Consider the following 23767-nt stretch of genomic DNA (forward strand, 5'->3'; position numbering starts at 1 on the left):
TGGGAGGGCCATAAGTCCTCAGTCTTATCGAGAAAAGTACGCCAAGGGGCCTCAGTATAGACCCAGCCCCAAGCTCACATACAGTTCCTCCTGGACCTCGGGCAGGCTCAGGGCCTGTCTGTCACAGCGGGGGTCACAATCCTTCTGTTTCTCTAATTTAGAAATATCCTGTTTCCCCAAGTCCACCTCACCCTAACACCCTGTCTTATCACAAGTCCACTGCCCCTCCCCCATAGAGGGAACAGAGCCAGAAGTTCCTCAGGGGCCCTTTTTCTGTCCTGGCTGGGCCAGAGGCTGGTGTCAACAGCCAAATGATGAATCAGCCCAACGCTAATGTTGAGCCATTGTGTCAACTTCCATGCATTGAGTGAGGTTGAGGACAGCACCCCCAATGCAAATCTGACCTGCAAGGACCCAAAGGACCCCGTGATTCCTGGACCCTCCTAGTCCCCTAAGGGCTCTGGAACCTCTTTCCCAACAGCGAAAGAACCTCAAGTAGGCATTTTCTAAAGCAATCTGAAGACAAAATGTGAAAAACTCAAATACGGATGGAACACTTACTCCATGCACACTTGCAGTTCTTGTTTTTTTGGTAACAGAGCAATCATCACCAAAGTTGAATTGGAGGTAGCATCCATTTTTTCATGGGGATACTTTTTCACCATCTTGCACGCTGAAGTAGGAAATGCCTCCCCAGGGGCAGGGTTGGCAGTGCCCTCTGGCCTCACTGGCTCTGGGCCTCACAGGATGGGTGGGGACTGATCCTCAAGTGCTCTTCTCTTCCTCCCATAGGAGACTTGGCACAGAGGCCTCCTTTTCTTTGGTTCTTTCTCAGCCATTTCCTGTCACGGCTACTCTCGGCCCAGCTAGTCTTGGTATACTGGGTGGCAGGGGATGCGGTGAGGACCAGGGTTTCTGCCTCCCTAAGAAACACCCTGGAAGTCTGAATTCCAGGCAAATAGAAAGTAGAAGGTGGACTGGGCGCAGTGGCTCACGCCTGTCATCCCAGAACTTTGGGAGACCAAGGCCGGTGGATCACTTGTGGCCAGGAGTTCGAGACCAGCCTGGCCAACATGGTGAAACTCCGTCTCTACTAAAAATACAAAAATTAGCTGGGCGTGGTGGTGCATGCCTCCAATCCCAGCTACTTGGAAGCCTGAGGCATGAGAATCACTTGGACCCAGGAGGCGATTGTTGCAGTGAACCAAGATCGTGCTATTGCACTCCAGCCTGAGTGACAGAGCAAGACTTAGTCTCAAAAAACAAAAAATAGCAACAAAAAAGTAGAAGATGGACCATTGAGTGAGTAGATTCCGTGATGGGGAGGTGGGCCTCTGGCTCAACAGGTAGGGCTGGTGCCCAGAGCAAGACTCAGCACCCATCCAGAGCCACAGTAATCAGGTGGGATGTGCCTTAAGTCACCTCCCAAGACAGAGGGCAGGCAAAAGCTGGTACTGGAGAGGAAAACCAGCTCTCCTGTTGGAGGAGTTGCAGGAGGTGAATTCCTCTGGCCAGGGTTTCTCCATGGTGGCCCTGTTGAAATTTTGGGCTGGGTGGTGTTTTGTGGTGGGGAGGGGGCTGTCCTGTGCATTGTCGCATGTTTAGCGGTATCCCTGGCCTCTCTCCACGAGACGCAGTAGCATTCTCTTCTCTGTTCACCACGCTATGACAACCAAAAGTGTAGTACTTAGTGCCACTGAGCTGGATACTTAGAGTTAAAATGGTAAATTTTATGTGATATGTGTTTTACCACAATTTTAAGAATAAAATTGTAAAAAGTAAAAAAAAAAGTGGGCTGGGCATTGTAATCCCAGCACTTTGGGAGGCTGAGGCGGGCGGATTGCTTGAGCTCTGGAGTTCAAGACCAGCCTGGCCAATGTGACGAAACCCCATCTCTACTAAAATATAAAAATATTTTGCTGGGTGCGGTGGTGCATGCCTGTAGTCCCAGCTGAGTCAGAGGGGCCTGCCTGGGGAGGTGGAGGTTGCAGTGAGCCAAGATTGCGCCACTGCACTCCAGCCTGGGTGACAGAGAGAGACCCTGTCTCAAAAAAAAAAAAAAAAAAAAAAGGTGGAAAAAAAGCATAGTGTGGAATTCTACCATACATCTCTAGGCCACAGAGAGTCAATAGGGAAACTGAGACACACAGGATCCCTGCCAGTGCTGTGTCCATCCCCTAACGTGGGGAGGCAGCTGAGTGGAAGGCGCCTCATGATACAACAATTAAAAAAAAAAAAAAAAAGCTGTGCTTAGAGCCAAAAGCCAAGACTGGAAAGACCAGGCAGCTCCCCCACTGTCTGCAAGCTTTCCCATCAAACTCAAGTCCCCCGGGCCAGCGCCCAGCTCTCTCTCCTCGGCCCTGGGGCTGCTCCTTGGAGGCAGGCCTGCCCCATGCCCTATTGCTTATCTAGGGGAGGGCTTATTTTGTATTACTCAGGGGGTGAAAGGGGGTTTAAGGGCCAGAACTGTGCCCTTTAAGCCATTTCCCAAAATAGGCAGCCCTGAAATGCTGCATGCTAGAAGATGACGGGGAACATGAAGGGGAAAGGTCAGCAAAGACTCCGCTCTGCACCCAGCTGGCTCACTGATCTCACAGACCTACCCCACACTGGGCCCCAATTTTTTTTTTTGAGATGGAGTCTCACTCTGTCGCCCAGGCTGGAGTGCACTGGTGCGATCTTGGCTCACTGCAAGCTCTGCCTCCCGGGTTCACACCATTCTCCTGCCTCAGCCTCCCATGTAGCTGGACTACAGGCGCCCGCCACCACGTCCAGCTAATTTTTTGTATTTTTAGTAGAGATGGGGTTTCACCGTGTTAGCCAGGATGGTCTCGATCTCCTGACCTCATGATCCGCCCGCCTTAGCCTCCCAAATTGCTGGGATTACAGGCGTGAGCCACTGCGCACGGCCCTGGGCCCCCTGTTTTATTGGGGGTCACTCAATACCACCTTCCCTCTAATAAGCACAGTGTTTCTGGGTTTTACCTGCCCACCAATGCTGAAAGATCCCTCCAGGATTTCTGGAGGGTGAGAAAGACCCTACTCCTTCCAACAAGAAGCAGAGCCTTAGCGTGGCACAATCAGAAAGGAACATGCTGCATCAAGAGTGGTTCTCAAAGCCCGGGCCCCAGCGTGACGGCAGCAGCTGCGTGTGGACACCTGTTAGAAATGCACGTTTTCGGCACCGCTCCAGACCTAGTGAATGGGAAATTCACAGGGAGTGGGGTGCGCCAAACTATTGATGTTTTAATAAAGCCCGAGGACCACTGACCTGCCTCCAGCCCATACCTCATCTCACAGAGAAGGTGACCAAGGTCTTGAGAGGCTCTATGACTTGCCCAGGGTCACCCAGGCCACAGTAGAATATTACTCTTCATGTTTAAAGTAGATAGGATCTACTTAGGAGGCTGAGAGGGGAGGATGCTTGAGGCCGGGGGACAGAGGTTGCAGTGAGCCAAGATCATGCCACTGCACTCCAGCCTGAGTGACAGAGCCAGACCCTGTCTGAAAAAAAAAAAAGTAGACAAAAGTTCTCCAATTATGCCGATAACATGAAGCCTAAACTAAGAAAGATGGAAAACAGAAAAGAATGCAGTCAATTGGTTTGGCAACAAACAATGGACAGCAATTGGTAACAAACCAATTAAGAGAAAAAAAGAGAGGGAACAGGAAGGCTTTGAAGAGCATGGCTTCAGCCAGGCCCCCTGGGTTCAGTCCTTGCTCTGCCACTGGCTGTGGAACAAGGACAAATTAGTTAACCTCTGGGCCCGTTTCCCCATCTGCAGAGCAAGAATAATAATAGAACCCCCATCAACTGTTAGATGATCTTGGGGATTAAGGTAGGGCTCCAAGTGTCTCACACAGAGGGAGTGCTCAATACATATTAGCTTTAACTGTGACAGAGGAGGAAGGGACCCGCCCAACCGCAAGATAATTAGAGTATAGGGAGAAAACAATCAACATGGAACAAAAGAAATCTGCAGTCTACAGAGGTGGAATAATATCCAGAGGAAAGAGCTGCTGAAGAATTTGGCAATGATGAAGAATCTGGGGATGGTTATGATGATGAATAAGAAATGATGATCTGGCCGGGCGTGGTGTCTCACACCTGTTATCCCAGCACTTTGGGAGGCCAAGGCAGGTGGATCACCTGAGGTCTGGAGTTCGAGATCAGCCTGACCAATATGGTGAAACACCGTCTCTACTAAAAATACAAAAAAAATTACCCGGGCGTGGTGGCAGTAGCTGTGGTCCCAGCTACTCAGGAGGCTGAGGCAGAAGAATCACTTGAACCCGGGAGCTGGAGGTTGCAGTGAGCTGCGATCGCGCCACTGCACTCCAGCCTGGGTGACAGAGCGAAGACCCTGTCTCAAAAAAAAAAAAAAAGAAAGAAAGAAAGAAAGAAATGATGATCCTTAACAGCTCTGGGCTCTGGGGAAGACTTGAACAAAGAGAGGCTGAGGATGAGTGTGAGAGAAGCCTAAGCGGGTGGGTTACTGCTGGCTGAAGGATCTGGCTCTTTGGAGAATCATCTAACTCCCCCCAGGCAGAGAGGAGGGAATCTCTCTGATTTTATGTAGGGAGTGAAGGAAAAGAGATTACTTGGAAGATGTTTTCTATTAAGGAAGTCCCAGAGAATTTAGGAGAGAAATTCCTCAAATGGGATGCCTGCTCTTTAGCAACCAGTAAGAGGAAAAGAAAGAAAAGCTGAGCATTCAGGTGGCGCACGCCTGAATCCCAGCACTTTGGGAGGCCAAGGCGGGCAGATCACTTGAGCCCAGGAATTGGGCAATAGCCTGGGCAACATGGCGAATTAGCTGGGCATGGTGGTGCGTGCCTGTAATCCCAGCTTCTCCAGAGGCTGAGGCGGGAGGATCGCTTGAGCCCAGGAGGTGGAGGCTGCTGTTCACTGTGATCGTGCCACTGCACTCCAGCCTGGGTGACACAGTGAGACTCTGTCTTACAAAAAAGAAAGAAAAGAAAAGAAAGAAGGAAGGAAGGAGAGAGAGAGAGAGAGAAAGATAGAAAGAAGGAGGAAAGAGAAAAGGAAAGAAAGGAAAAAGGAAAGAAAGGAAGAAAAAGAAAAAGAGAGAGCGAGAGAGAAAGAAAGAGAGAGAGAGAAAGAGAGAAAGAAAAGAAATCAGCCATGTCCTGCAGGCTCCTCTCCTCAAGGAAGCACTGACAAACAGGAAACCCCTTGGCTTCCAGGACCAGAGGCTTCCAGGTGGGTTGGAGGCACAGCTGCAGGCAGCTGCAGGCCCCGAGGGCTACAGCCTGTGCAAGAACCAGGGCTCTCTCTACCTTCACCCCTGGGCAGGTTAGAGACCTGGCAGGTTCCCTAATGGTCTGCCAGTTTAGAGACAAGGTTGTAGAGCGACAGAGCCCTGATTGACTCCAGGTGGCCCAGGTGGTGCTGTGGGAGGGTCCTGGTCTCGGAGTCAGGGGACTGCTCTAGTAGTACCCTGGGCAAGACACTGAACTCTATAGGGCTCAAGTTCCTCCTGTGTTTTTAAACTGAAATTGATTAAGTGCTCACTCTGTGGCAGGGATAATACAGTGACTGTGGGGATAACCAGCACCATCTCCCATGATTCTATCTCATTTAACCCCATTTGCATTTAACAGTTGAAGAAACTGAGTCTCTGAGGGGTAAGACATCTTGGTCACAGTAACTCAGCTGATTGGGGGCTGCCTCAGAACGGGGACTGGGATGTCTCCCAGGAAAGCCTGTGCTCTACACCGCCTCAAATCCTACAAGAGTGGGTTCTACGATGCCTATAGTTTCTGCCTGAGGGGTCAGGTTCCAACAGCCCGGACTGAGTAATCTAGAACCAACCTGGAGACCCCGAGAGAACCCACTTGAACAGCCAGCTGCCCTAAAGCAGATGAAGGAAATCAGAATATGCCACCACAAAATATGCCCCTTTGGCATAAGGATTGTTTTGAGCTGGTTCAGATGTAGAAGGAAGTCTTCCCAGAGCTTGTTTATCTGACTAAAAGCAGAAACTACTTCTTCCTTTTTTTTTTTTTTTGAGGCAGATTAACAAGAGAAAAACAAAGAGGGTCTCTGTTTTTCTCTTGTTAATCTGTCTTGTGTAATTTGCAGGGCCCCAGTCAGAAAACCTAAGAGAGTAAAGGAAGAAAATTAAGTTTTTTGGAACCCACAGTCTCATTCTGTCACCCAGGCTGGAGGGCAGTGGCACAATCACAGTTCACTGCAGCCTCCACCTCCCAGGCTCAAGCGATCCTCCTGTCTCAGTCTCCTGAGCAGCTGGGACTACAGGCATGCACCACTATGCCCAGCTAATTTTTGTTTTTATATTGGTTTTTTAAATTTTTTAAAATTTTTTTTTTTTTTTTTTTTTTTAGAGATGGGGCCTCACTGTGTTGCCCAAGCTGGTCTCAAATTCCTGGGCTCAAGCGATTCTCTCACCTCAGCCTTCCAAAGTGCTGAGATTACAGGCATGAACCACCATGCCCAGCCCTAAAAGCAGAAACTCCTAAGAAAACACACCTGCTGTAAATGCCCCCATAAAATATTTGTGGCCACTTGATTGACTTTCTCAGTTTGCCACTCTGGGAAGCCAAAAACCATCTTTCCTTTGTCTTGTCATTTGTCTACAAATTTATTGCTCTTTGTTAAGAAGCTTTATATATTTATATTTATTTTTATTTTTTTGAGATGGAGTTTCATTCTTGTTGCCCAGGCTGGAGTGCAATAGCGTGATCTCGGCTCACTGCAACCTCTGCCTCCCGGGTTCAAGCAATTCTCCTGCCTCAACCTCCCGAGGAGCTGGGGTTACAGGTACATGCCACCATGCCTAGATAATTTTTTGTATTTTTAGTAGAGACGGGGTTTCACCATATTGGCCAGGCTGGTCTCCAACTCCTGACCTCAGGTGATCCACCCGCCTCGGCCTCCCAAAGTGCTGGGATTACAGGCGTGAGCCACTGCGATCAGCCTAAGATGCTTTATAGACCCCAAGTGCTAACCACCCCTTTGAGTTACTCATCATTGATGTTTCTCCTGTGTGATTTGCGTTATGTATGTTAATAAACTCTGTTTTCCTCTTGTTAATCTGCTTGTCCAATTCGCAGGGCCCCAGTCAGAGCACTTAGGAGAGTAAAGGAAAAAAAGTTAAGTTTTTCCCTAGAATCCACACTAAGGTGCCCCTCACCACCTATAAAAGGGCCTCCAACCAGTAGCCTCAGATGATCACAGACTTCGCTGGAGGCCTCGAGGCAGAGGTGGTAAGGAGCTGGCCTCCTGCAGCGAGGATCCCTGCAGCTTCCACCTTCTACCACCCGACTTTCCCAAACCGAAGACAGTACACCTCAGTGATCAAGAGCGTGGAGTCCACTCCGGGGAGGAACGATTCTCAGGGGCTGGCTTGCTGCGTGATCTTGGGCAAGCGTCTTAACCTCTCTATGCCTTAGTATCCTCAACTGTAAAATGGGATTTGTGGTGAATCCCATGGACAAATCCCATTGAAAGACACGATGTACTTAGACCACTTAGCACATACAATAAGTGCTCAAATAGGAGATTTTGCTTAACGAAAGCAACTGAAAGTGAACTCTTCAGCAGTGTCCAAGAAAGCGAACACTCTCAGGGACCACCAAGAAAGTAGAAGGGGCATTTTTGTACAACTGCACAATGGGAGCAACCTTGAACCCTACCTCACTTATAACTTTCCCTTACACTAGACAAATAGAGAACGGCTGTTTATTGTCAGATTTGCATTTTGTTAGCTCTGAATATATGGAGATTGTGAAATGAGGTATTTGAGCTAAAAATTCCCCAGAGAATTGGTTTTTCAAAAATTATTCAGGGTCAAGTTCCACAAGGGTTGAGTTTCTATTCTTCTTGTAGATATACCAACTTTTAAAAGTGAATTAAGAAGTGATCGCTATTTCAGATAAAAAGCAGGGTCCTCAGAGAATTGGATGGTTCTTCTAAAACAGTGCTTTTTGCCTGGCACAGTGGCTCACGCTTGTAATCCCAGCACTTTGGGAGGCCGAAGGGGGTGGATTGCTTGAGCTCAGGAATTCAAGACCAGTCTGGGCAACATGGTAAAACCTCATCTCTACCAAAAATACAAAAACTTAGCTGGGCATGGTGGTGTGTGTCTGTGGTTCTAGCTACTTGGGAGGATTGCTTAAGCCTTAGGGGCCGGGGGGTGTTGCACGGAGTTGCAGTCAGCTGAGATGGCACTGCTGTACTCCAGTCTGGGTGACAGAGTGAGACTCTGTTTCAAACAAAAAAACAAAACAAAACACAAACAGTGCTTCTCAAATATTGGCAGCATCAGAAACATCTGAAGCTGGCTAAGTTCAGATTCCAGAGACTAGTTTTGTGGGTCTGGGCTGGGCCCGAGATTGCTGCTGCTGGTTTGCCGACTGTACTCGGAGGAGTCATCCTTTTATATTTATTTATTTATTTTGAATAAATAAATAAAGCACTTACTGAGTGCTTAATGAGCCACCACGCCTAGCCTGAGTAGCCACCCTTTGCAGAAATGTCCTGGACCATTTTAATGATTCCCTTTCCAAGAACCCACTTAAATAGAGGTCTGCTGTACAAAGCGAGATACTCACACAGTCACTATTTCCCCCACAATGTTTACGTCTTTCGGATTGCTGACTTACCTTCAGAATTTAAAAGTTGTCATTGTGTATTTCATTTCACCAGAATTGAATACAGTTATTATACCCCCCCACCGAAAAAAAGGACTTGTTGAGCTCCCCCAGTTCCAGGTCTGCTTAAGCTCTGTGCTCAGCTCTGGGGGAAGCCCTTTCATGAGTAAGCAGTGGGTCGTCACGGGAAGCGAAGTGGGGCCAGCCGAACCAAAGGAAATAGAGCAGATCCGCAAACCCACACCCACTCCCAAAGTCAGTCTACTGTCAGAAAAGCTGAAGCTGCTGGGCGCGGTGGCTCACACTTGTAATCCCAGCACTTTGGGAGGCCGAGGCGCGCGGATTACCTGAGGTTGGGAGTTTGCGACCAGCTTGACCAACAGGGAGAAACCCCGTCTCTACTAAAAATACAAAATTAGCTGGGTGTGGTGGCACATGCCTGTAATTCCAGCTACTCAGGAGGCTGAGGCAGGAGAATCGCTTGAACCGGGAGGCGGAGGTTGCAGTGAGCCGAGATCGCTCCATTGCACCCCAGCCTGGGCATCAAGAGCGAAACTCTGTCTCAAAAAAAAAAAAAAAAAATTAGCTGAGTGTGGTGGCGGGCGCCTGTAATCCCATCTACTTGGGAGGCTGAGGCAGGAGAATCACTTAAATCCGGGAAGTGGAGGTTGCAGTGAGTCGAGATTGCACCACTGCACTCCAGCCTGAGTGACAGAGCGAGACTCCATATCCAAAAAAAAAAAAGAGAAAAAAGAAAACAAGAAGAAAGGCTGAAGCTACTGGGGGTCTCCAAAGCAAAACACTCGACGTCCAAGACCTTGGGGAACCCCAGCCACCAGGGCCTGTGTGGGGAGCAGGTAAGGGTCACCGGCTGGGGTCAGTAAGCATTCAAGAAGCGCTCGTTGACTACATGAATAGTAAATGTGACCCGAGGTGACTTTTTAAGGGTGGTGGGAGAGAGGAAGCCCACAGCGCTGGTGTAAGAGGTGGCACCCCTTTTTTGGCCTTCTTTGCTTCTTCTTTTCTCTGCCCACTCCCAAGGCCCCATCAGTGATTCTAGGGGGCATCCCCCAGGCTGGGGCACTGGAGACCCTCACTCACCAGGGACAGCTTTCCGGACTTCACTGTACACTGTCTCTGTGTCCTTCTTTCCTAGATCTGGAAAAAGGACCAGGCATAAGTTAGTAGCTGCCTCTGGGAACGAGGTCAGTCCACTGCAGTCATAGGAAAAGGTCTGAGGCTCTGCAGGCAAGGCTGTACCCCACCACTGCACCCCACCAGAACCAGGTCCAGAAGCACCCAGAGACCTTGTCATTTCTGATGTTAGAAGATCCTGGCTGGGCAAGGTGGCTCATACCTGTAATCCCAGCACTTTGGGAGGGTGAGGGGGGCAGATCACTTGAGGTCAGGAGGTTGAGACCATTCTGGCCAACATGGCGAAACCCCGTCTCTACTAAAAATTCAAAAAATTAGCCGGGCATGGTGGTGCGTGCCTGTGATCCCAGTTACTCGAGAGCTAAGGGACGAGAATCGCTTGAACCCAGGATGCAGAGGTTGCAGTGAGCCAAGATTGCGCCACTGCACTCCAGCCTGGGCAACACAGTGACACACCACCTCAAAAAAAAAAAAAAGAAGAAGAAGAAGGTCTTGGTCTAACGAGCGTCACTCCCAGTCTGGGAATAGGAGGTCAGCAGGCCATTGTGGAGCAGGGCCACATGCACCAGAGGAACCCTGGACCTGAGGGGCCACGGATGGAGAGGCCCCCAGCAAGGGCCTGCAGCCTCCAGCTTGCTGGCCCCACTCCTCTTCCCCTGCCACCGTGACCCTTGTCCAGACATTCTGCCAGGTCCCTCAACGCAGGGTTGGGCTATGGCCTCCCAATCACCTGAGAGCCCAGACCCCGGGATCCAGAACGAGATCCTGAGGTCTGGGTTAGAGCCTGGGGGTTGTCAGTGACCCTAGGAATAGCTGGGACTGAGAACTCTTACAGGGATAGACAGCTGGGCTGGCTGTTTTCACTGCTGGCTCCTGGGCCTCACTGCAGCTTCTGGTTGGATTGGTCTGGGGGGGTCCCTGGTGCTGGTTTTTTAGGATCTCCTCAGGGGCCCTAATATGCAGACAGGGCTGAGATCCTCTGGGCTAGACCCTCTCAATATGGCAGCATGATGACTGACCCAGGGTGTGGCGTATACCTGGAGGAGACTCAAGGGCGCCCTTCCTGCCATCTGTTTACCTTACACTGGGGTATGGGCACAGGATGTGTATACAAAAATACACACACAGCATATACACACGCACACTCATGCACACAATGTGTATACATGCTATGTATACCCTCATACAGTGTGTAGGATGTGTCTACACACATTGTATACACACTGTATGTACAAACATGCAATCTGGGTGTGCACACACTCATGCACACAGGGTGTGCACACACATACATACCCACCAACCCTGAGGAAACAGGATGGAACCTGGCCACTTCCCAGCTCCTGTCACCTGCACAAAGGCCCAGGAAGCCTCACTGTAGAAAAGAGCCTGATGTCGTGTGGGCCACTGTTCTCCTTTTACAGATGGGGAAAGGAAGCCCCAGATAGGGTAAGGGGCTTCCTGTGCCATGGTCAGTGCATTTCCCTCCTCGGAGTGAATGGCTGGGGTGTGACCCTGGACTCTACCTGCACTGAGATGCCCTTGTCTCACCATGCTCCAGGGACACCCCACTCTCACTTCCTGGCCCCACACACACTCCTCCACAGCCAGCACTGCCCTTTCTCCTTGCCCCATTTCCCCACGACCCTGGTGGAGCTTCACGCATGTACCAACACACCCACACTCACTCTCCCTCTGTGCCCTGGGAAGTTACAGGGCCCCCTGAGCTCCACAGCATGTTGGTGACATTTGTCCACAACACACCGATGTGACTTGTTCCCAAGTCCGTCTCCCTGGCAGACCCCGACCTCCTATGGGGTGACAGCTGGGGTCTTGGACATGTCCCATTCCTAGGCTTGCTCAGCTGCCTGGGGGCACCTGTCCAAGTTTGAAGTGACAGTAATGGTGGTGGCTCCTGTGTCAGGAACCATTTGTGAGGAGAAAGCCTGGGGGTGGGTCAGATCCCTACAGTTGAACTTGGGGCATTTGGGGTGACTAGGGCCTTACACTGACTTCCCCAGGGCACCAAACAGGATTTGGAACTCAGTAGAGTGGCTGAGCTACCAGGGCACCACACTGCTGGGACAGCAGAGATGCCCACACACCCCTCACTCTCTTTCTGTGGCACCAGATGTGGGGGCCTCAAGGAAAGCTGTAGGGATCCCCAACCCTATTGGGGGATCCTCCACATCCCCAAGACACCCTCTGCTTGATGTCAGGCCTGGCCAAATCACTCACTCAGCAGAATCCTAGACACCTAGTGTGAACCCCGCACTGTGGAAGAGGAAAGGTGATCGGGCCTGGTCCCAGCTTTCAGGAGCTCCAGGCTGCGAGGCAGACAGGTGCACAAACAACGCAGACACTGCAACAAATGCTATCAAACACCATATACCAGGCGCATGGTGGGGTGGTCACGGCCAGCTCACCCTCCGACCCAGGCCCACAGTGGGGGCTGGGGCAGGTGAGGAATAAATGGAGGGAGAGGGCTTGGTGTTTGGGCCTGGGGGTTTCTGCTTCTTGGTGGAGCTTCTAGAGTTGCAGCTGCCCCCAAATCTGCCCAGTTAAGTGATGGGTGGGCAGGCAGAGTTGCAGCTCATCACTACCTCTCCTCCCCACCCACTCCACGGCAGCAGCTGCTTGCTAATGAGTAAACCAGGCTGGCAGGCTCTTTGTCTCTGCTGTCAGGGATGTTTCCGGATGGGGCTTTATTTTGGCTTCTGTTTTTCTCTGTGTTAACAGAGAAGGAGATGGCTTCAACGTCATGGGGTTTTCCCAGCAATTAGTCTCAGAGCAAACATGCAGCAAACCAGGATTTACTGAGTTCCTTCCTGCCCCTCCTCCACCCCAAGTGACCACTTGGTCGGCTGCCACTAGGGTCAGAGCTGGATGTGGTTCCCAACCCCTCCTCCATAGGAGGAGGAAGTCTTGAGAGCAGGGAACTGGCTTGGTCAAGACCAGGTCAAATGTACTCACCACTGGCCTTGTACCCACAAAGCCCCTTTTCGTACCTGGTAATACCTGGCTCTCCACCCACAGGAAGGCAGAGAGGGAACACCTGAGGCTCAGGCCTGACTTCCCACACTGCTCCTTAGCTGCCAAGGAGGAGGACGGGTCTAGAAAACTCAAATTGAATTCCCAAAAAGCTCTCCATTGCCCCCAAGTGACCCTCTTTACGGGTCTACCTGGACCTCTGCAGCCCACACAGCTTTTGTGCAAATGGGGAAAGAGGGACCAGTTAGGTGATGGCATCCCTGCAGCTGCACAGCTTGGCAAGGAGGGCACATGCTGACCGCCTCTGCTTCACCCAATCCTGGAGGGTCTCGATACCTCCTTATTTTTAAATTTTTTGTAGAAATAAGTTCTTGCTTTGTTGCCCAGGCTGGTCTTGAATGCCTGGGCTCAAGTGATCCTCTCGCCTCTGCCTCCCAAAGTGCTGGGATTACAATACCTCCTTCTTGTCCCTTCAACCCTTCCCCACCTTTGAGCAAGAAAAAGAAAACCAGGGCCGGGCGCAGTGGCTCATGCTTGTAATCCCAGCACTTTGGGAGGCTGAGGTGGGCAGATCACTGAAGGTTAGGTGATCCCTGAAGGTTAGGAGGGCTTTGCTGCAGTGTGTTCCTGGCTGCCTCTCAGGCTGTCCCTCCACAAGGGAGGGTCTGTATGTGCTTGTGCTGCCTGCGTAGGGCCTTAATCACAATTTGTTATCTCAACGAGTCAATCACTCTACAATGAAATAAAGAGGAAGAGGCCAGGCCTGGTGGTTCACACCTGTAATCCCGGCACTTTGGGTGGTCAAGGCGGGTGGATCACCTGAGGTCAGGAGTTGGAGACCAGCCTGGCCAACATGGTGAAACCCTGTCTCTACTAAAAATACAAAAATTAGCCGGGGATGGTGGTGGGCGCCTGTAACCCCAGCTACTCAGGAGGCTGAGGCAGGAGAATAGCTTGAACCCGGGAAGCAGAGGAAGCAGTGTGCCGAAACTGTGCCATTGCATTCCAGCCTGGGCAACAAGAGCAAGACTGTCATAAAAAAAAAAAAAAAAAAAAAATGAGGAAGAGAGCTTCAGGCCTGCCGCGTTCCCCACCCCTCTCAGGTCCAGTCTAGACTTGGAAGTGAGTTGTGCAGATTGGGCAGTACACAACCCCCGGGGGCCATTCTGTTGGTAGGCTATGGGAATGTGCCCCAGTGGTGCAGCACACAGCCCAGCGGCTCTACGGGGCATCCCTGTAAGGAAAGTTCTGTGCATACAGCTGCTGACACTCAGCCCAGGCTCAAAAAGAGAAGACAAGGAGAAGTCCAAGACTCCTCCCAGATCATGGAGCAAGGGGTGATTTCAGGACCCCATTGCCATGTGGTCTGGCTAGTGGCTGGCACGGCCTGGAAAACTGCACGCATTCAGCCTGCACAGTCAGGAAAACTACCCCAGGCCTGCCTGGCTAGGTGGATGCAGCCTGGGGTTAGCCTCAGAGGAAGGGAGACAGATGGCAATGATCCCAGGGAGCTTCCCAGCTGGGCAGGAAGGTTCTGAGACTGCTTCCTTTGAGCGTGCAGGAGCCACTGTTTCCTTTGAGCATGCAGGAGTGTGCAGTGACCCCCGGGGACTGTGTACTGCCCAATCTGGGTTCGCAAAGGAGGAGGACAGTTAGGAGATGCATTTTTAATTTTTTTTTAGACGGAGTCTTGCTCTGCCACCCAGGCTGGAGAGCAGTGGCTTGATCCTGGCTCACTGCAACCTCTGCCTCCCGGGTTCAAGCGATTCTTCTGCCTCAGCCTCCCCAGTAGATGGATTACAGGCATGCGCCACCACGCCCAGCTAATTTTTGTATTTTTAGTAGAGACAGGGTTTCACCATGTTGGCCAGGCTGGTCTCGAACTCCTGGCCTCAAGTGATCCACCTGCCTTGGCCTCCCAAAGTACTAGGTTTACAAGTGTGAGCCACCGTGCCTGGCCAGGAGATGCATGTTTTTTATGGTGCCCAAAACAAACGAGATTGATGTTCTAGCATTTTCTATGGAGCAGCCCACTCTGCATCCATTTCCCCAGCATAGAACCAGAGACAGGGACTTCCAGGCCAGCCTGCCCTTGAGAGAACCACATACACAAAAACAAAACCCAAGGTGTAAAATCAGTGCCACTGCTCACACGGACAGGGATCTTGTGCTTTCAAAAGCCTTTACCTAAGTGTCCCTCTAAATGGCAAAGCACTCGATATCTTGAAACATGCATTTGATTGACACACATTCAGTCTGCACAAGCAACTTTAGGAACACACTGGGTTTGGCAGGGGGTCTACCTCTGGAAGGGACAAATTGCTCAGTACTTCCTAATTCCCTGGCACTTAGTAAGTGCTCAATAAATCTTACCTATTATTAGTAGTATCATAACTAATAATTATCAAAAATGGCCAGGTGTGGTGGCTTCGCCTGTAATCCCAGCACTTTGGGAGACAAAAGTGGGCAGATTGCTTGAGCCCGGGAATTTGAGACCAGCCAGGGCAACATGGCGAAACCCTGTCTCTATTTTTCTTTAATTAATTTTTAAAATTATTGAGGCCGAGTGTGGTGGCTCACACCTGTAATCCCAGCACTTTGGGAGGCTGAGGGGGGTGGATCTTTTGAAGTCAGAAGTTCGAGTTCACGCTGGCCAACATGGTGAAATCCCATCTCTACTAAAAATACAAAAAAAAAATAAATAAATTAGCCGGCTGTGGCGGTGCATGCCTGTAATCCCAGCTACTCGGGAGGCTGAGGCAGGAGAATCGCTTTAACCCGGAGGCAGAGGTTGCAGTGAGCTGAGATCTCGCAACTGCACTCCAGCCTGGGCACAGAGTGAGACTCCGTCTCAACAAAGAAAAAAAAAATATATATATATATATAAAATAAAAAATATATAAATAATATAAATATAAAAATATTATATATAAAATATATAAAAATAAAAAATAAAAATATATAAAATATTATAAAATATATATTATACACAAAGAAAACATATATATTATATATGTATTTATATTTATATATTATATATATTATATATTTTATATATATATATATATTTTTTGAGATGGAGTCTCACTCTGTCACCCAGGCTGGAATGCAGTGGCGCAATCTCAGCTCACTGCCACCTCTGCCTTCCGGGTTCAAGTGATTCTCCTGCCTCAGCCTCCTGAGTAGCTGGGATTACAGGTGTGCGCCACCAGAGCCGGCTAATTTTTGTATTTTTAGTAGAGATGGGGTTTTATCATGTTGGTCAGGCTGGTCTCGAACTCCTGATCTCAGGTGATCCACCCGCCTTGGCCTCCCAAAGTGCTAGGATTACAGGTGTGAGCCACAGTGCCTGGCCTTTTCTTTTTTTCTTTTAAATTATTGAAATTTTACAGCTCAGAGACAGGGCCAGGGCCAGGGGCCTTTGCTCCTTCCAGTCTTAGCAGGCCGGTAGGTCTGCTAATCACTTCCTTTGGAGCGACTGAGGGTGCACAGACTCTTCTCACTGAACACAGCACCCCCGCCACCACTGGGGTTTAAACCCAAGCCAAAGGCAATGCCTGGGGACTCACTCGAGTGGCACTTACCTTTGTGAGACTCAGCTGAGGACACTTGAACTTCCGTGTACTGCACGTCTGAGTTCAGAGGCTCTGCTCAAAGAAACCACAGCAGCTTGTTGTTTAGGTGGAATCTCTTGTGGGCACCTCAGATCATAGAAGTAGAGACTTTCTTTTCTTTTTTTTTTTTTTTTTTGAGACAGAGTCTCACTCTTTCACCCAGGCTGGAGTGCAGTGGTGTGATCTCAGCTCACTGCAACCTCCACCTCCCGGGTTCAAGTGATTCTCCTGCCTAAGCCTCCTGAGTAGCTGGGATTACAGGTGTGCACCACCATGCCCAGCTAATTTTTGTATTTTTAGTAGAGACGGGGTTAATTTTTGTATTTTTAGTAGAGACAGGGTTTCACCATATTGGCCAGGCTGGTTTTGAACTCCTGACCTCAAGCGATCCGCCCACCTCAGCCTCCCAAAGTGCTGGGATTACAGGCATAAGCCACTGCCCCCGGCTAGATTTTCATTCAGGTTATTAAAGTATTCTGTATTTTGAGGGGGCAGCCAGACACAGGCTTAATTCCATTCGGGATGAGGAAGGGAGTACGAACCCCGCACTGGTCCCAGAGGCAGATACAGGGCCTCGGGGCCCATGGTTTCCTCCCTGACTCCTCTGTTACCAGGATGTGGAGGGACCCTCTGGCCTAGGTCCCTGTTTCTACAGTGGGGGGACTTGGAACAGGTCAGTAGAGACAGAAAACAGCCCAGTATCAGCCCCAGCAGTTCTCCCAATTCAGTCTCACTCAAGATGCTGGAAGCCTTCTCCACAGCCACAGGCAAACAAAGCTACCTCCAAGACTGAGAGGATTTCGGGAAATGGGGAACAGGGGTCACTACCCTAAAAATACTTGGAGAGTGTGAGGCATACACGTGAATGAAATCACTCAGGGTACTAAGGTGAAAGCTAGAAAAGTAGTTTGTCTTCAAGTCAAAAATAACATTACTGTTTTGTTTTTAAAGCCCTAAAGAATAGGGATTCTCATCAGCTACCAAAACAATGATTCTGCAGTCAAAGATACATTTCAGGCTGGGTGTGGTGGCTCATGCCTGTAATCCCAGCACTTCGGGAGGCTGAGGCGGGCAGATCACCTGAGGTCAGGAGTTCGAGATCAGTCTGGCCAACATGGTAAAAATCCACCAATACTAAAAATACAAAAATTAGCTGGGCATGGTGGCACACACCTGTAATCCCAGCTACTTGGGAGGCTGAGGCACGAGAATGGCTTGAACCCGAGAGGCGGAGGCTGCAGTGAGCCAAGATTGTGCCACCGTACTCCAGCTTGGGTGACAGAGTAAGACTCTGTATCAAAAAAAAAAAAAAAAGAGCCAGGCGCAGTGGCTCGCGCCTGTAATTCTAGCATTTTGGGAGGCCAAGGTGGGCAGATAACAAGGTCAGGAGTTTGAGACCAGCCTGGCCAACACAGTGAAACCCTGTCTCTAGTAAAAATACAAAAATTAGCCGGGCGTGGTGGCAGGCGCCTGTAGTCCCAGTTACTTGGGAGGCTGAGGCAGGAGAATTGCTTGAACCCGGGAGGTGGAGGTTGCAGTGAGCCGAGATCGCACCACTGCACTCCAGCCTGGCTGACAGAGCGAGACTCTTGTCTCAAGAAAAAAACAAAAAAAAGAAAGAAAGGAAGAGACCTTAACAGAATCCTTTCTCTTTGTTAGGAGCCTTAGCTCCCATGGCAGCAGCCCAGAGCGAAAGGAATTTTGAAAAATGATTTAGTCCAATCCCTCAGTGCTTCAGGCAGAAGAGAGCAATTTATTGTCCATTGTCTTTAAAAATCACCACCTCAATGCTCAAGAAAAAAGAGGTCCCACTGCCTTACCCAGTAGCTCATTATGAGTCAGGAAGTTGTTTTTTGAGTATAACCCAGTTCTTCCCTACTTTGATTTAGGTGACTTTCCCACTGAGGACACTAGATAGCATCTCTGGTGAAAGCAGCTAGCTACCTTCATTGACACATCGGCTGGGTACAGGGTCATTAAGAGAGGTGGGAAATTATCCACAGTCCTTCAAGTTTTAGTTTTCTTTTCCTATGAGTCTTTTTTTTAATGTAAAAGTTGGTTCTAATAAAAACATGTAATTAGATAATTACCTTTATTATCATTTATTGGTTTCATTGCATGGTTTCTGACATCGTCATTGTGACCTAGTTGAAAAATAACAATTAGGGTGAGTGACAAGGGAAATTCTAGTTTTCTAAAACCTTTTAAAAATTCAGTACCCCTAACAAAGTCAAGCCTGATTTATTCAGTGTAGTGACAACCAGCACTGTCTCTGGGTCCTGGGTCCCCTCGTTGGCCCTCCTGTGGGCTCCATTTGACCTGCTGTGTAGTCTTTTTCTTTTTTTCTTTCTTTCTTTTTTTTTTTTTTTTGAGGCAATGTCTTGCTCTGTCACCCAGGCTGGAGTGCAGTGGTGCGATCCCGGCTCACTGCAGCCTCCTCCTCCCAGATTCCAGCGATTCTCCTAGTCTCGCTTTGTTGCACAGGCTGGTCTCCAACTCCTGGCCTCAAGTGATCCTCCCACCTCAGCCTCCCAAAGAGCTGGGATTATAGGCATGAACTACCATGCCTGGCCTGAATATAGTTTCTTTCTTTCTTTCTTTTTTGAGATGGAGTTTCGCTCTTGTTGCTCAGGCTGGAGTGCAATGTTGAGATCTCAGGTCACTGCAACCTCCACCTCCCAGGTTCAAGGGATTCTCCTGCCTCAGCCTGCTGAGTAGCTGGGATTATAAACATGTACCACCATGCCCAGCTAATTTTTTGTATTTTTAGTAGAAACAGGGTTACACCATGTTGGCCAGGGTGGTTTTGAACTGCTGACCTCAAGTGATCCACCTACCTCGGCCTCCCAAAGTGTTGAGATTACAGGCGTGAGCCACCGCGCCCAGCCTAGAATATAGTTTCTTAAACAATATATTTGCTCGTTTCTATTTACTGACACATTACTTTTATTACTACAAATATTTTATTTTCCTTTTTTAAAGTTTATGATTCAGTACTATATGAATTACTCAATTCTTAAAACATATTTCTCAAGCAAAATATGTCTCTGTAAAAAGTATATCCTAAAAATTTCTTATTTTGTGAGACATTTATAGAATTAGAAAAGAACATGAGCATTCTATGACCAAACCTGCTGATAAAGCAAGAAAAGTGGCTGGGCTCAGGGGCTCACACCTGTAATCCCAGCACTTTGGGAGGCCAAGGCAGAAGGATTTCTTAAGCCCAGGAGTCTGAAACCAGCATTGGTAGAGTGCCATCTCTACAAAAAATAAAAATTAGCTGGGCATGGTGGCACATGCCTGTGATCCCAGCTACTCAGGAGGCTGAGATGGGAGGATCACCTGAGCCTGGGAGGTAGAGGCTGCAGTGAGCTGAGATTGCACCACTGCACTCCAGCCTGGGAAGACCCTGTCTAAAAAAAAAAGAAAGAAAGAAAAGAGGAAGAGTGTTCCAAATTTGGTCTGGGACAGGACTTTTTGTGATGTAATTATAGCCCCCTCTGGGAAGTAAGTAGCATCCCTGCTGAAATGCTTGAGCAATTTTCTTACTAACCTGGGATTAAGAACTCCTAGGACTGGCTACTCATTCAGCTGAGCTGACCCTGAAGCTACTGATGAGCCTTATGAATAGATATTTCTTAGTTGGAACACTTTATTTATGCCTTTACTGAGAGAATATTGAAATTGCATTCCCTTTGTGGCAAATTTGAAGTAAAACTGTCTTGTGCTTGTAATAATTCCATCTGAGAAGATGTTTTACCAATGTTTTCATTCAATACCTGGTCTCTGTCTTGAAAATGGAGAATTATAATATTACGCTGGAGCAATGTTCAAAGTCTTTGAAGGCATTATGATTATTCTCCATATTTCTTCTACGGGGAGTTTGGAAGGTGGCAAAGTTAGAATAAAATATGTTACCTTTCCTTTTACGTTTCCGTATATTACATGGCCCAGTGGCTGATGAGATGAAGTACCCTGTTGAAGCCAGGGTTTCTCTTCCAACTGTAATCCCACCACTTACATATTCTGCTTCTGAGAGGGCTAAGGAAGTATGTAGCAAGTTGGGGGAAATTAGAAATGGCAGGAGAACATGACTTTACCGTAATGACTGTTAGCTTCCATATTGGGATCTGACATTTTCTCGTTGTTGGAGTTCAGAAGTGGTACTGCTGGCCTTAAAATGAAATATAAAAACAGAAAACAATATATAGATATATTTGTTGTTGTTATTGTTCTAACCCCAAACCACCAAAGTAAACAAGGGAAGATCATGAGAAAACCAGGAAGAGTTTTCCAAGGTAAGGAAAACTTTACTCTCTCATTTGGAAAACAAATATTTTTTGGCAGCTCCAAGGATTATGTAAAAAAACTTTTTTTTTTTTTTAGACAGAGTCTCGCTCTGTCACCCAGGCTGGAGTGCAGCAGTGCAATCTCGGATCACTGCAGCCTCCGCCTCCTGGGTTCAAGCGATTCTCGTGCCTCAGCCTCCCGAGTAGCTGGGATTACAGGCATGCACCACCACGCCCGGCTAATTTTTGTGTTTTTAGTAGAGATGGGGTTTCGCTGGCTAGGCTGGTCTTGAACTCCTGACCTCAGGTGATCTGCCTGCCTCAGCCTCCCAAAGTGCTGGGATTACAGGTGCGAGCCACCATGCTTGGCGGTGATAAAACTTTTTCCTATTAAAATAAACATCAGGACCAAAGCACACATGAATACCAGGAGTCCTTCACAGGCTACTACCAAGCCCCTGAAATTCTTATCCCACGCTACTGTTTCTCTCTGGAACAGAGCAATCATTTCTATACTTTTGGATTTGGGATTTCAACAACAGTAAAGGTAGTAAAACCATTTTTTAAAGGCCAACTCTATTTTGTCAAATTTTAAAAAATTTATCTACTACCATTATAATTTCATAAAGAAAGGGAGATTTCACAAATAATCATGTAGGAAGGACATGATCTCAGAATAAAAGCCATTCCTTCCCATGAAAGGACAATTGGCATTCTTCCACGGAGGTACACACACACACACACACACACACACACACACACAACTCACACACACAACTCACACCCAAGGAAGGCCTATATTTTTCTAAGTTTGCCAAGAGCCACTGAAAACTTCCTAATGACCAGAATCTCCCTCCAGACATGTCCACCGTGCTCACAGAGCAGCCGCCCCCTTCTTACAAATACACTCACCTGGACATTTCCACTGGCATCTGCTTGGCTTTAAAACAGAAAACGAAAAACCAAAGTCAGTATACAGTACCCACATCCATACCACTATAATGGCCAAAACGCCAATGGCTTTTGCACTAACCTAATAGATAGAAAACACTTTTCTTTTCTTTTTGTTTTACTCCTAGTAAGCTGTGAAGGAACACTCTTTTCAGCTACGTTTGACTTCCCAGAAGATTGAATACCCAGAAAAAGAGAGAAAAAGAAGCCAAATATATTCACTCTTTTACAAAAGACAGAAAAGAAAGAGGTATTCTCTTGGTCTTATACCAAGATATTTCCCCAGAAACATGATATCTTGACTATTTTAGCCAGAAGTGATTTTTGTTAGTGAAATATGATGGAAAAAGAGACAATGATATGGGAACCAGATTAGCCAGATAAGCAGGCAGCTCTCTTCCTCTCTCTCTCTTTTTTTTTTTTTTTTTGAGACAGAGTCTTGCTCTGTTGCCCAGGCTGGAGTGCAGTGATGTGATCTGGGCTCACTGTAACCTCTGCCTCCCAGGTTCAAGTGATTCTCCTGCCTCAGCCTCCTGAGTAGCTGCAATTACAGGCACCCATCACCACGTCTGGCCAATTTTTTGTATTTTTAGTAGAGATGGGGGTTTCACCATGTTGTCCCGGCTAGTCTTGAACTCCTGACCTCAAGTGATCTGCCTGCCTTGGCCTCCCAAAGTGCTGGAATTACAGGTGTGAGCCACCGTGCCTGACCACTCTCTTTGATTCCAGATAATTACAAAAAGTAAAGGCGAAATCAATCCCTGCGTTTGTAACTCGAAGCTGGCCTAAGATCAACGCCAGGGTGTGCTCTATCTTCCTTGATGGGTGGCAGCTTTCCTGACAAAAACCAGGGCCCCTCCTCACCCCATCTTCCCCTCCCATCCTGGGCAGCAGCACCAGAGGCTCCAAAAGAACCTACCTTATCCCACAAAAAAATTTTTGCAGGATTTACTGATGCTCTGCCCTTTTCCTTGAGTCTTGGACAGCTGACTCTGATTCCTGGTTATCAGCAGGTGGTCCTGGCTGCTCAGCCGGGCTTACTTAGCTAACCCCAAGCATAGGGTAGAAGTCACAGCACAACCACCAGGTTAATTACAAAGCATTCAATGTGTGTGTGCAACATGTGGGTGTTATGCGCATGTTTGTGTGTCTCCAAGACACTTGCACCCCACTCTACACGCATTACAGGACTAGGTGTGGACAAATCTACAGAAATGGCTTCTTCTAACCACACAAAGATGCAATTTCCCCCCAAATTTATCTTTTCTGGTTTGCCCAATGAGGAAAATAATAGCTTTCATTTTTGCCTAGCTGAATCCAGGGGTCAGAAAAGCACCACGCATCCCTGGCTGGTTTCCTGGCAAGGACGACCAGTCAGTATGGAAGGAAAGAACTATGCTCACCCTTGGCTTTCCTCAGAAAATAACATTTGGCCGCAATGATCAAGAGAGCAATGATCACTCCGATGATAACCACTGCAATAAGTCCTTTCTTCCATGGGGCAAGAATGACTGAAAACAAAACAAAACAAAAAATTTTTTTTGTATATAGGCTCTTCCTCTGCCAGGAAGAAATAATATCAGGCTTAAGCAACAAAAGTCAGTCTGATTCTCACAGCTCTTGTAACTGGCAGCTTGCCTTAGCATCCATCTACCTCTGAGGGGTTCTGCACTCAGAGCTGGTGCAGAAATGATTGTTTCTGCTACAAATAGAGGTCAGCTGTGGTCCTCAAGGAGGGAACAAACCAGCTTTGCTGGGGTAGACTCTTTTCTTTTTCTTTCTTTTTTGAAACAGGGTCTCACTCTGTCACCCAGGCTAGAGGCTGATGACAGCTCACTGCAGCCTCAACTTCCTGGGCTTGAGCAATCCTTCCACCTCAGCCTCCCGAGTAGCTGGGACTACAGGAGCACACCACCACACACAGCTATTTTTTGTTGGTTTGATTTTTGAGGCAGAGTCTTGCTCTGTTGCCCAGGCTGGAGTGCAGTGGAGCAAGCTCTGCTCACTGCAACCTCTACCTCCTGGGTTCAAGTGATTCTCATGTCTCAGCCTCCCGAGTAGCTGGGATTACAGGTATGAGCCACTGCGCCCAGCCTATTTTTGTACTTTTTGTAGAGACAGGGTTTCACCATG

At 48.4% G+C, this 23767-nt stretch overlaps 1 protein-coding gene across 8 annotated transcripts in view; it reads right to left on the reverse strand.

Moving 5' to 3' along the window:
• The window catches only part of PECAM1 (platelet and endothelial cell adhesion molecule 1), a 71446-nt gene that overhangs the window by 12481 nt on the left and 35198 nt on the right, over positions 1-23767 (reverse strand). For 2 of the 8 annotated variants that reach the window (XM_005276880.2, NM_000442.5), the window contains exons 9-14: positions 23038-23145; positions 21596-21623; positions 20495-20568; positions 18485-18538; positions 16365-16427; positions 9739-9795 (exon numbers count right to left, since the gene is read on the reverse strand). In XM_005276880.2, the coding sequence (XP_005276937.1) occupies positions 9739-9795; positions 16365-16427; positions 18485-18538; positions 20495-20568; positions 21596-21623; positions 23038-23145 (384 nt within the window). The remainder of the gene's footprint in view (positions 1-9738; positions 9796-16364; positions 16428-18484; positions 18539-20494; positions 20569-21595; positions 21624-23037; positions 23146-23767) is intronic. The other 6 variants (XM_047436251.1, XM_017024739.2, XM_005276883.3 and 3 more) reach the window with 4 other exon arrangements.

Source organism: Homo sapiens, chromosome 17, assembly GCF_000001405.40.
Source record: "Homo sapiens chromosome 17, GRCh38.p14 Primary Assembly".
NCBI classification, from domain to species: domain Eukaryota; kingdom Metazoa; phylum Chordata; class Mammalia; order Primates; family Hominidae; genus Homo; species Homo sapiens.